A 14221-nucleotide genomic window follows, 5' to 3' on the forward strand; every position below is an offset into this window, starting at 1 on the left:
ATAACGTTTTGTTCCTATAAATATAAATATTTTCTTCAACTAGGAATCCAATACGAAAAGGTTTTTTTCCTCTGAGACTGACCTACTCATGATTAGCCTCTTTGAATAAAGGACCTGTTTACATTTTCCTTCTAAAATGGTTCTCAGATATTGGGAAAACTCAAGCTTTTATTTGGAGGTTATTTAATAGAATCCCTTAATTTTTTTTTTTTGATAGTGATTTTTCTTAACTGACATTCAATTTCAACAAAATGTGGTCTTGACTACTTAACAATTTTCCAACGTTGGGGAACTTACAGAGAAATAGGTGACACCCAACAGAGAAACACAGATGATGGTGGGCCCAGTGAAGATGAAGGTGAGGCCCAACTGCCCGAAAAACTGCAGGATAAGCAGAGGGAGGAACTCCCCCAGACCAGCAGGGGTCGTGCTTCTGGCCTTACAGGGCCCCCGACACCTCTCCCCATGGCTTTTACCCTGAGAGGTGGTTCTGCCTGGGGTTAAGAGTGTGGGCTCTGTCGTCACGTTGAACTCAAGTTCTAGCAGTTACTGACTGTAGAATATGAGTTCAGCTTCTTTCCTTCTCTGAGCCTCGGTTTGCTCATTTGTAAAATGAGGAGACTATTAGTGCCTATCTCTATCTCATAGAATGGAGTTGTTCGGACTAAAAAAGTAATTTATTGGAAGCAGCTGCTGCTGGCGGGTGTGCCATGGGAAGTATTCACTAAATTCTTATAACCGTTACGATCACACCTCTCATGAGCCTCTTGACTCTTCTGTGACCAGACCCTTGCCCCTCGATTCTTCCAATACACCACGGCTGAGCTTCATTTTGTCACTCTCTTACTAAAAACATCTGTCCATTGCTCTAGGATAAAGCGCAAACTCACAGCGTGGACTGACGTTTGTGTGTGAAATATGCCACAAGTGCACAGTAAGTGCTCCGTAAGCGTAGCTCCCACACATTCCTTCATTTGTTCCTTCAGTGATCCTGCAATGGAGACTGAAAGCCAGCTGGACCTCTTCTCTGTGCCCTTACCCTCAGATCAATGAACACCTCTCTGGGTATCCTTTCCTCAACTCTGTAAAGGAAGTCTGCTGCACTATTTACAATAAAAAACACTTGGAACCAACCCAAATGCCCATTGATAATAGACTGGATAAAGAAAATGTGGCACATATATACCATGGAATACAATGCAGCCATAATAAAGGATGAGTTCATGATGAGTTCATGTCCTTTGCAGGGACATGGATGAAGCTGGAAGCCATCATTCTCAGCAAACTAAAAAAGGAACAGAAAACCAAACACCGCATGTTCTCACTCATAAGTGGAAGTTGAACAATGAGAACACATGCACACAGGAAGGGGAACATCACACACTGGGGCCTTTTGGGGTTTGGGGGGCTAGGGGAGGGAGAGCATTAGGACAAACGCCTAATGCATGCGGGGCTTAAAACCTAGATGAGGGGTTGATAGGTGCAACAAACCACCATGGCACATGTATACCTATGTAACAAACCTGCACGTTCTGCACATGTATCTGAGAGTTTAAAGTAAAATTTAAAAAAAAAAACAAAAAAACAAACAAAATAAACAAAAAATCTCTGCTGCCACGTTACACTGATTTCCTTAGGCCGCTGATGGTTTCCCAGGTGCACCTTCCCCCCAGCTCAGCTCAGCCCTGCCCTTCTCTCCTCGGCTCTTGCTCTCCCTCTGAGGGGAGGTGGGGCTCAGACACCAGACCAAACTGAGGACAAGCTGAAACAGACAGAGCAGAAGCTGTTTCCCATAAGACACGCCCACCAGTGTGCCAGGTCAGTTACCATTGCCATGGCAACACGAGGGAGTTACCACCCCTTTCCATGGCAACGACCCAACCACCAGGAAGTTACCACCTCTTTCCTAGAAATTTCTGCATAATCTGCCCCTTAATTTGCATGTAATTGAAAGTGGGTATAAATATGACTGCAGGCCTGCCCCTGAGCTGCCACTCTGGGCACACTCCCTGTGGGGTCGCCCTGCTCTGCAAGGAGTTAGGACCTCTGCCGCTGCTTTGCATGGCAGCTTCAGTAAAAGCTGCTAACACCACCAGCTCGCCCTTGAATTCTTTCCTGGTTGAAGCCGAGGATCCTCTGGGCTAATCCCCAGTTTGGGGGCTTGCCAGCTCCTCATCCATGGTCAGCATCACTTAGGCTTTGTCCTTGCTTCCTAAGGTGTCGGGGAGAGGAGAGGGAAGGGCAGAGGTGGGAGTTTGCTGATTCCCCTTCCTCCTTCCTGGGATGCTGGCAGGTGCTGCCCCTCTTGGGGCAGGCTGGGCCTCTTTGGGTAGCCCTTCCTCCACAGCCAGCACCAGGCTTTTGGGAGCAACTTCCTGCCGTCACCCCTCAAGCTGTGTTCTAGCCACGGCTCCCACAGCTCCCTGTCTTCTGCAGTCTCACCGCCCCTGTTGGTTTCTGCTGCTTCCCACACCTGTGTGACTCTATTTTCCGCAAGCCCCAAATGCATCCTCCCCACCCTAAAGCCCTACCCATACTTCCCTCTTACGGAGAACCATTCACTATTCTTTCTTTGGCACAATTCTCTCCATTGACCAAGGCTCAGCTCCAGTCAAGCCTTCTCCATGAAACAGTCCCTGCCCACAAACATGTCATGCTTCTCTGAACTCATGACAGTCACTTTTGTAACTCAACCAAGAACAGCCAGGTATCACCTGCTCCAGCCTTGCTAGCTACTTTGCAATTGTGTTGTTAACTCTCACGTGTTCAACTTTGTGGCAAGATGGTGAATTCGGGAGACTAGAGTCTGCCTTCTCCTCACTCATGTGTTCACGGAGTTGTAATTACTGAGTGCTGCTAGTGGCCCATGCTCCACAGGTCACTGGGATACAACCCCACATATGACCCTGTGGCTCATGCCCTGTGGGCTGTATATGCCAGTAGGGGAGACGGGCGCTGGACAGTCAGTCATAACGCACTGAGATGAACATTCCGATAGGATATGAAAGCACTGAAGATGAGACCCTAACTTAGTCTGAGGAAAAAATACAGACGAGACCTGAGGGATGAGGCGAAATCAGCCAGGAATAAAAGCGGGAGACGAAACTTTCCCACAGATGTACCAACACATGTGAAGGCCAACCGGGTGCATGGGAAGATCTGGGGGTTTCTGAGGAGCTGAGAACAGGAGAGAGGGCTGTAGCCAAGTCAAAGAGGAAGCCCGGTGAAGATGGGGGTGGAAGGAGACCAGAGGTGGTCAGGGGAGCCTTGCAATCACGGTGCTGGGAGAGTGTTAGGAACCCCCAGAGAGGTGTGCAAGGGAGGGAACAGGTGGTGGTTCCATTAGAAGGGCAGGTTGGGCTGCACTGTGGAAAATAGAATTTGTGTGGCTGGGGGGATGGGGAAGCCCATGTGATGTCTTCCAAAGCATAACTGAGATGGCAACGATGATGGGAACTCGGCTGACGCTGGGAAGGTTGAAGCAACAGGGATAGACGAGAGATGTGTATAAGGAAGAAGAAACAGGACTGCTTCTGAGAGCAGGGCTGACCTGGAGGGCAAGGGAGAGGGAGTTTCAGAACAGATTCCAAGCAACTAGGTGGAAGTGCTATACAGTGAGCTATGGAACCCTGGAGAAGAACACTGCAGGAAGAAGTGGTTAGTTCAGTTTTTGGACATGTTGAATTTGTGGTGCCTGTGAGACTTCCAGGTGTAGGTAACCAGCAGGCAGATGGATAAATGCACCTGAAGCTTGGTAGAGAGGTCAGAACTCTAATTTTTTAGCATAGATTAGATGATGAGGGAAATGTCACTGTATTAACAGCTGTCCCCATAAGGTTCCTAAGAAGGGCATGGTTTATTTAGAAAGAATTCCTTGACAGGCCCCGTGGGTTACAGGCTTGAACTGGAGGGCTCTGGCTGGGGCAGCCCCACTCTGTGTACAGCGGAGGAGGGGGCAGCACTTCTCAGGCCCTTGCCCAGAAGATGACCCCTCCCAAGTTCCCCAGTGCTGAATGCTAAGTTCTACCAGAAGTTTAAGAAGATGCTCATCAAGAGCAGTGCCTCTTACCAGATTGTGTTTGGCTGGACTGAGGCATCAGAGGAGGATGGCCGGAGGGAAGCACGAAGGAGGACAGGGGATTTGCAGAAATCTTGGGGTGGGCTCTGGACTCACAGGCCCTGTGAACCTGGGTCACAGTTTGAAAGTCTCTGAGGGACCAGACAGACTCAGCTTATCTTTGAGCCCCCACCCTGTGCCAGGCCCTTCTGTTGGTGCTGAGGATAAAGAAATGAGCATAATGGACAGCTTCCCTGCCCTCGAGGCACGGACTCAACTGGAAGCTGTGTTTATTGCTGCATAACAAGCTACCAAAATCTCAGCAGCTTCAAACAGAACCCATGTATTCTGTACAGTCTTGGTGGTCAGGAGCCCAGGCACTGGTTAGCTGTGTTCTCTGCGCAGCATCTCACAAGGCCGGAATCAAAGTGTTAGCCAGGCTGCATTCTCCTCTGGAGCTCTGGGAACTCTTCTGAGCTCACTCAGATTGTCAGAAGAATTCAGTTCCTTGAAGTTGCCGGTCCCCTGAGGTTCCCATTTACTTGCTGGCTGTCAGCCAAAGGTCGCTCTCAGCTCTTAGGTCTGAGCCATGTGGCCCTCACATAATGTGGCATTGTACTTCTTAAAACTTTGCAGGAGAATCTCTTTCCAGTCTGCTACCCCAGGACCTCATATAATATAACGCGATCATGGGAGGCCCTGCCCATAGCCTCCGTCAGATAACATAACCCACGTCAAGGAGCCACCATTCCACTGTATTCACCCAACCTGTTTGTGCTCCAGGGTGTGCAGCAGGAGACAGTGATCTGCGGGGCCAGTTTAGGATTCTGCTTCCCACAGAAGGCTAAAGACAGCAAATGAATGATCAACAAATAAATAGGATTTCAAGTGGTGTAAAGGGCTGTGACGCAAATAAAGGAAGGAGAGGGGAAAGAGTCACGGAAGGGGCAACTTGGAGGAGGCAACATCTGAGCAGATGCCTGATCACACTGAGAAAGTAAGTGTATGTGGATAGCAGAGCAGAGTCTTCCGGGAAGGATAAAAAATGCAAAATCCTTGAAGAGAAGTGAGCTTGACCTTCCTTATGAATAGTACCTGGGGCTGAGGGTACCACCACTGGGAGCACACACGGAAGCTCAGAAAGCCTCTGTGGCCAGAGAAGCTCCAGAATCTGAGGGATGGGGAGAGGAGTCGGAGGGATGAAAACCCCAAGCCTCAGCCCAGAGGATCAGGGACGTGTGCTGCAGGGTCTGGAGGCAAAGGGAGGGGGTGGTGGAGGAGAAGGGGGTGGGAGGAGGTGCCAGCTGCATCACTGGAGAGCAGAAGACTACTAAGACTGGGGAGGTGCTCATCCGACTCAGCAACATTCAAGGCTTCAGGGCTCTTCCCAGTAGCATCAGCAGGGTGGCAGAGCAAGCTGAAGAATGGGTCTAATATGGGCGATTCTTCTAACTTGTGAATTCATACTTGCAAATTCACTTACTTGATAAAATTTATTTTTGATCTCGAAACAAATACAGCACTATTACAGTCATTCACATACACTTGCAGAGAGGTGGGAAATTTGAGTCACCCAACATGCATGTCCCAACCTGAGGTCAGACAGGACAAAGCTCTGCCTTCTTAGTTTCAGCCCAGACTGCACAAAACGTCATTTTTGAGGTCTAAGTAGTGTCATGGTTTTCAGATTTTGTGCCTTTTCTTGGTGATTTCCCTGTTTGAAATGGCCACCAGGTGTAGGGCTGCAGTGCTATCTAGAGTTCCCAGGTGTAGGGAGGCAGTGGCACACCTTACTGACAAAATCTGTGTCAGATTAGCTTTGTAGGCATGAGTTACAATGCCGCTGGCTGTGAGTTCAATGTTCCTGAATCAACAATAGATATTAAATAAGGTAACTTTGAACAGAAGCACACTTAAAACAAGGCTATATGTCGATTGGTTGAAGACATGCGTGACCAGAGGCTCCCAGGAGCCTGGCTCTGTGTTTCCTCTAGGAGCCAAGGTTCCATATTCTCTAGCTCAGTGTCAGAGGTGACTTTGTAGAATGCTGTATAGACTTTACAGAGCTACCAGGAATAATGGATATCAACTCTATTTCATGTGTCCCCTTATATTGTCTAATAAGTTTCACATGTTGATGTTTAAAAACTAGTTTTCACCAAGTCATGGAAGTATGAAAAAACGTTGGCTTCCATGTGTTTTCTCTGGGCTATCACAGTCTTGGGTGATGCTGAATGGAAATTGAAAACGGAAGAGAAGGGAGGATGGTGTATTGTAGCAGAGTGCTGGGCCTGATGACCGGGTTTCAAATCCCCACTGTCACTTGCTCTGTTTGGTCTGTGGCAGGTTAGCTAACCTCTCTGTGACTCGGTTCCCTTGTCTGTAACACAGGGAGGTGGTAGCACCTACATCTCAGCCTGGGTGAGGCTCAGGAGATGACAGGCACGTGTGCACTCAGTGCCTGGCGTGTAGTGAGCGTTAATAAAAGCAAGTGCCGTGCAGAGCAGGTCTTCAGAAGGAGAAAGGGATGGGGTCAGCGGAGAAGGGAAAGGCAGTCTCTGGCTTTCTTTAGAGGAACAATTCAGTTTAACTGTAGAGGAAGGAGATGGATCCTCAGAGCAGATGCTCGTTGCAGGATGAGGAACACATAATTAGCTTGTGCTTTGCCTTTGCTGTATCTCCTAGGAATCAGGCAACTGCCAGGCAGATGGGGATGGAGGAACTCTTAAACTTACTTTCAAAATAGTTGTTAAAAAAAAATCACCTCCCCTGGCCTCACTTTCAATAAAGGATCTTGGGCTTCTCGCTTTCTAAGCCTTGAATACTGTTTCTTACCTGGAAACATTATCTTACTTAGGAACTAGGAACCATCAACTTTATATTGATCTATTGCCAATAGAGAAAATGAGGGGCATCATTTCTTTCCATATTGACCACCAGCTCTCCTCAAATAAAATAATTTTGTTCTGCAGTTGACTATGTGCTCAGCATATAATCAGGATTTTTCCTTTTAAAGAATAACTATAATATGATCAAAGATTGACAAAAAAACTTTTGTTTTACTGGCTCCTTCCTTGTGGAAATGTAATTTAATGGGAGCAACACAAATCTTTAGTAGAGATGTTTAGCCAATACTACTACAGTATTAAAAAAAGCATTTTCTTTTTATGTTGTCTGGGATCCTTTGTTGATCTAATTTCAGAAAACCCCTGAACCATAGCTTACCTCTCCTACTGAAATGGCTAAGCTTTCAGAATCTACAGAGGTTAAAACCAGTTGTTATAAATGACTGAATCTCTATCCCCTTCACTCCATTTACCAAAATGATTCTAGCAATGTTATTAAAACATTAGCAGTATAGTCTCAGTACTTATCAAGCTTAGCTTGCTTAAGAATCACCTGGAGAGTTTGTTAAAACAAAGCTACCTGATCTCCACAGGCAGAAATTCTAATTCAGGAGGCCTAAGAGGGCCCGAGAACGCGCATTTCTAACAAGCTGGTGGGTGTTGCCGATGCTGCTGGTCGGGCATTTAAAGTAGCAGCGCCCTAGGGCCTGTGCTCTCAGTGGGGAGCAGCCACATCTGCCTCTTTCACTGTCACATCCCCTAGTGCCTACTGCTGTCTGGCTCGTATAGAAGCCCCATGGATTCCTGTGCAAAGGCTAAAAAAGAAATAATTTGAACAGCAAGCTTGTGATGAAATCAGTCAAGAAGCCTAGGCCAGTGGAAGAGCCAACTACCACTTATTGTTTCTATTTCATGAGTCTATTCTCTGCTTTATTGTGTGCGTGAGTGTGAGTCCATGTGTGTATGCATGTGTGAGTGTGCGAGTGTGTGCACACACGTGTGTATGTACACAAAGACTAGTAGAGTTGGCAGAGTTAGTGAGGCAGAAATTGGATGTTGGCAACCTTAGCAATCACTAAATCACTGATTTTGCTGTTTTTTCTCTTTTATTTTTCAAGTCATTTGGGGGCTTTTCTACAGTAAACACAGTTATAAGGTTTCAAATCTCAGTGCCTGACTTGTTAATTCATAATTTTCCATAATCAGCACTTTCCTAAGAATAACGTTTGCAGGCTTCATGCATGTAGTTGGGAGATAATTTGCATATTGAATTTTTGCTGTTTAATAGACTTGGGCCCTGAAGGAATACTATAGGGCCTATCTTAAGGCAGGAAGTGGGGAACTAGATGTGATGCGTACAAAACAGCATGGTAAACTGGCTTAAAGCCAGAAAATTTACTTGCCAGTGGGAAGAAGCTGGTTTCCTTTCAAGACAGCTTTGGATAAAATGTCTTTTCTAAATGTCTCATCTGGTTATAAAGTGAGACTACAGAGAAATCCATTTCCCCTAAGCACTGTGTATATTGTAAATGTAGCATTGGAAAGAATCTTGCAAATGAATTGGGAAGGAAATTTTGGGGGAAGATAAGGTCATTGGGTGGAGACAACCTAATGCATGTTTCTATCCTCCGTCCAAGGCTCCAACATCAGACTTGGGTCAGTCGCGGCCGTGCATTTCCACTTTTATCAGCGTAACTGTGGAATTCCTAGTTTGGCATTTCTTGTATGGTATGGATATCTTGGCTGCTTAAGGGATGTATTTTGTATTATAAAATACAAATCCTGTCAAAGCACTGCCAAGAACAAAAGCAGTTTTCATGTAACTAGTTCAAGAGGCTCCTTGGGAGCACAGACACTAATCCCACCGTTGAAGACCCACAGACCCCACTCACTGGGAAGCAGCTGGTCCAGCGTAGCCATCACTGCTTATTTTACAGATGAGCTGCCCCAGGTCTCTTAGGTCATGTCTACACTAAAGGCAAGTTTTCAACCTTGCTTGAAGAATTTGGTGAAGATGGCGCCTCCCTCTCCCAACTCCTTTATGGCCTTTTGGAATGTGTACTGGAAAGTCATGAAGGTGATAAGAATACTTCCGTGACTGAAAGTTAGCTTTGAACTAAAGAGACTTTTGCATTTGAATCCCTGCTCCTCTGCTTACTAGCTGAGCAGTTTTCTCATTAGAAACTGAATCAGTGCTCTGTGTTGCAAAGAGTACTCATGCAGTTGAAATTTATTTAAATTTATTATTTATTGTAAGGATTCTGATATTCCTCATGAAACCAAAATATAGGATGCTACCAAGTCTCAGAAAAGAATGGAAGCGGGGCTGGGCTCTTGTTGAGGCCGTAGCTATGCCTTTCATCCCTGTCTCATTCTGCCTATCTCCTCTCCTCGATCTCTGCAGACCGTCTTCTTTACTCCTTTGGTTCGCCTAACAGATGACACAACAGCTAACTGCTCCCAAGCTTCATGCATTTTGGTCCAGACACCCAAAGGGAGACTGACTTGGCTTTCTTGGGACAAGCCCAACACGTTTCTGGGAAGGACCCACTGGCCCAGGTTTGGTCAGTTTCCCACTTGCTCTGACCAACTGTAGCTGGTGTCTGGCTACATTGCAATATGGCTACTTCTATTGCAAACGTGTGTGTTTGAGGTGCGGGGAAGGGTTTGCCAAGAGGCAATTCCTGATCATGAGGTCCTGGGTAAACTGTGTCATAGGCACCATGTTGTGAGTGTTTGATGAGATTACACAGTGTCAGACGTTCAAAAAAAGGCCTTAATGAATCGTGTCCGTTGTTAATAAGACCAGAATAAAGGGAAGGAGAAGAGATCAATAACCACAAATAATACAGCCAAACTTCCAATTTTAAAACTTGCAGACATGTATCTTTAAGCTTTAACTTTATCTTTATCTTTACTGTATCTTTAGTGTTTAACTTTATGATTTTGACCTATCTCACTTACAGAAAAGTTACAGAGGTAGATGTTGAGGTTTGCTGAAAATTAAATATTTTTCAGAGATTACCCAATCACATTGTTAATAAATTTGCTGACTGTGTCCATATGTAACAGTTTGTGGCTGAAATGTTCATTGATTAGACACAAGCCAGGGCTGAATTGGTAGCTTAGATTCCATTCTTCCTAAGCATCTTTCCTATTTTCTCTTCTCCTTTTCATCTACCTCTCCTGCCTGGCAATGGACAGCCCTATGAGAATAGTCTTCGTTGTTTAAGGTAGTCCAAGGACATCTAACTAGGAATAATGGGATGGAATTCAGCAAGGGACAATTTATGCTGAATTATAAGAGAAATTTCCTAACAGTGAGATCTATTAGACTAGAGAATAGGCTCCCGAGGGAAGTAAGCACCATTGCCAGAGTCATTTAGACTCTGGCTCAAGTCCATAAGTAAAAATAAATTTGGTTGTCTCATTTTATTCTCCATTTGTGTGGACTCTGCAGCACCACTGAAAAGTTAGACAGAAGCGACATCAAATAATTGACTTAAGGGAGATCCAGCAAACTTGGAAAGTATTTTGCCCTCATTTTCTGAAATACTATTTTTATTGTTGTAACTTTCATGAAGTCCCACCACCTAAATTTAGGTAATTTCAGCAGATGTTTCAGAATGTCTCAACCATGTGGGCTGCATGACTCCATTTTTCCAGAGTGCACCACTTCAAATGGCATCTGAAGGTCAATTCACAAGTTAACCAACCTGGGGTGCAGGGGTCTTGGATGCAGAGATCGGAACCTGGGTTGTGACAGCCCACCAGAAGCAGTGCCCCTCTGAAGGCATGGTCTGAGCCCTCAGCTGATGTCTGCGAGCATCATGAAGACTTCTCCCTTCATCTCTTTAAAATTGATGCGGACCACGCACCCACATTTTTGGTTCAAAATATTGTCATAAATTATCATCCAGATGATCATTTCTAATGAAGTGACACATACTCTTTCTTCAGCATTTGAACGTGGTGGAAAATATTTTCAGAGTCTTTGTATTACAAAAGCTCCTAGATAATTTGAGGTAGTCTAGTCTACCAGGTAACCAATGAAATTTACTGGGTTCCCAAAAGGCAAAATAATTTATCAGCACAAATAAATGAAAAAGAAATTTGCATTATTCAGGAGTTGGGGACCATGGAAAAATATTCGAAGCCTTCCAAACTTTTAACAAATGTTTACCTAGCAAGGCAAAATATGCCCATATCAACAAACTCCTAAGTACTGGAAAATTGCTTCTGTAAAGTGTTCACTTTTTTTGTGTCTTAGGATTCCTGGAAGTGTTAGACACACAGAAAGGGGGAGAAAGTCCATCAACTACCTCTTTCATTCCACAACAGTTCTTAATCCAGCAGAAAGCCATCAGAATTCCGCTCCCGATATGTGTTTTCATTGGCTAGCATGTGAGTTTGCACACATGGGGCAGGAGGCAAGGTAATACCTCTCTCTTAATCAAGACAAGCATATTTCTCTCAAGTAAGCTTCCTTGTTCATGTCACATCTTTGTCAAATTATCAGGAGCGGGCTCTGTCTTGTTGCTCCACTGGACCAAGAGAGGCCCTGGTGACATGATCCCCCATTTCCAACCAGCGCATCTGCATTCTGGCAGCTGGAAACAGGAACAACTAGAAGGTTAGATGTGTGGCTTCTGTTCATTTCCATTGCTCAGAAGTTTTGCATATGGTCGCACCTGGTCAAAGGCAGGCTGGTAGAAAAACTTTTATTCTGGATAACCATGTGCCCAGCTAGATATTTAATTACTATAAACTAAAGGGACATTTACAAGGTAGAAAATATTTTCCACCATCTTTAAATGTTGGAGAGAAGTATGTGTCTTATAAAAACCAGGTGAAAATGACACCTTCCACAGGGCTCTGGAGACACTGTTCTGTTGTTTATGTTCTCTGGAGCCTCAGTGGTAGGGTGGCTGGAGCTACACATATCGTATTTTTAATATAACTTAGTGGGGCGTGGAGCTTTTTCTCGGTGAGGGCACAAGGGTATTCATTCATTAATTGCCACTATTTCTAAGATGGCATAAAAGGGTTCTACACCAGAAAACTGGAGCCCTTCCTGTTCGTGAATTGCCGGACCCATTGTTTTCAGTGTTTTATAATTTTATTCCCAGATAAAAATGTGTTCTCCAGTTTCACAGCCATTTGGTTCCAGCTTTCCTTCCCTTATTTTATCACTTCTGTTTCAGGAGAGGGAGCTGAGATTTAACCAAGGAAGTACAAATATAATAGGAAGTACAAATCTGGCTTTCTAATAGTGGGTCTGCAGCTGCCGGAACTGTAAATACATCTGTTTTTGTGCTGGTTGGAACAACAAAGTATCCATTATGATGATTTGACATAAATTCTAGCATCTCCTTCTGGGGATGGCAGATCATTTACAAATACTCAGGTATCTGATGTTACAAATTTGCTAGGCTCCAGTTAAATAAAACAGCACTTAAAAATATAGTTTTTAACATATTTTTTGTTTAAACAAGCATATAAAAGTCAAAAATATCTTAATTACAGGGGCAAATAGTAGGTGTACTGGAGACACGGGTTATGAAGGACTCACTGCAAAACACCCAGCATTATTTCCTAATAATCACATAGTAACTGCCTGGCAATTCCGTTAAGCACAGTGGTAACTGTGGAGTCAGTTGCACATTGGACAACATGATAAGTCGCTTGAGCCTCTGCAGCAAAGTCTCCCCACAAAAGGAATGCCCCCTCAAGTGTGTTAGCGACAGAAGAACAAGCAAGAGGAAATGAAGGGCTACACTAAAACCCAAAGCAGCCTCATACACGTGCTTGATGGTGCTCATGAACAAATATTTTTTTGTTTTTCATTTTGGAGAAATATAGATGAATAATGCTGCATGGGAAAAATACGTTCCCAGGAGACTGTATTTAAGAGACCCTTATTCAACATGTCAGAGTGGAGAGCTCATGAGTGTGGAATCATATACAACCAGACTCAGATCCCACTCCACTCACCAGCTCTGCGAGTGCCATTGCCCTGCAGAGCCTTGGCAAATGGGGTTAATAACACCTAGGGCTGCTATTAAGATCGACAGAGTAACAAATGTGAAGTACCTGCCACAGGACGATTATTTGATAATAATTAATAAAAATTAATTTTGCTTCCTAGTTTTGTCTGACTTAAAGGGTGAATCCCACAACTAACATCAAGGTTTCTGCAATTTCCTAGTCAAATTCTGGACGAATGTAGAAGCAGTTTTGCTTAGTTTTGAGCCACATGAAATTACTTAGATTTATTCATTCATTTGTTCATTCATTCATTCAACAAATATTCACTGTATTCTAGTACCTGCAAATGTATCCTATGTTTTGCAGGCAACTAGTTAATATTAAACAGTAGTATCTTTAATTCTTACTGCCAGGGAATTGTCCAAGGGTGTTCCATAAGAATCGTTATGGTTTTTCCCAATCAGACATTAAGCAGGAATTAATTCTTCCCACAAAAAGGGGTTTAAAATGTGACTCCCATTACCACAATACACTGATTCTGGGAGAAAAAAGTCAGGAAACAGAAGGCAGAATCAAACATGGAGAGGGAAAGATGCTGGGCCAAGCGAATGGAGGCTCGGGAAGGAGGGTCTGCTGAGACGCCCTCACAGGGAGTGCAGCAAAGTCTGCACATGCAAAGGCCACGTGCTCTCCAGGTGGCCAGATGAAGCAGAGACCCAAGGCTGGAACTGGGACTGGTGGGGCCCTAAAGGCGCAGGCTAAAGTGGGAGAACTGAAGGATTCTGGCTGGGATGAGAAAAGTTATCATGGTCTTAGCTGCCCTGGTTTAGGATGCTCATGGTTATTTCGTGGGGAGAGTCATACTGCAATTCCACTGGATGGTTTCATGGCTTGTGAGATATAATTATAGTGTATATGTGAGATATATATATATATATATATATATATATATATATATACACATATATATATATATATATATATATATATATATATATATATATATATATATATATAGTGATGTATGAAGAATACATACGATTCTAATTCCACAAAGGGTCTTCAGTTATTCTTAATAAATCCTTTTGCTATTTTGGAAGGAAAAAGTTAAGAAAGCCCTCCCAGGTGGGAGAACTAAAACAGCAGCTCCTGGGAAGCCTCTGCCTTCACTGGGACAGTGGCCATCAGAGTGTGCTCTCTGCAGTGAGGACAGTGTGTTAGCCACCGTGGGCTCCATGTGGCAGAAAACAGGAGCTCTGCCCCCATGCAGCTGAGAGTCTCACAGGGAGATGCACGCGCATCAGTCTCTAAGATACTGACAAGGATTTGT

Source organism: Homo sapiens, chromosome 18 (genome assembly GCF_000001405.40).
Source record: "Homo sapiens chromosome 18, GRCh38.p14 Primary Assembly".
In the NCBI taxonomy this organism is placed as follows: domain Eukaryota; kingdom Metazoa; phylum Chordata; class Mammalia; order Primates; family Hominidae; genus Homo; species Homo sapiens.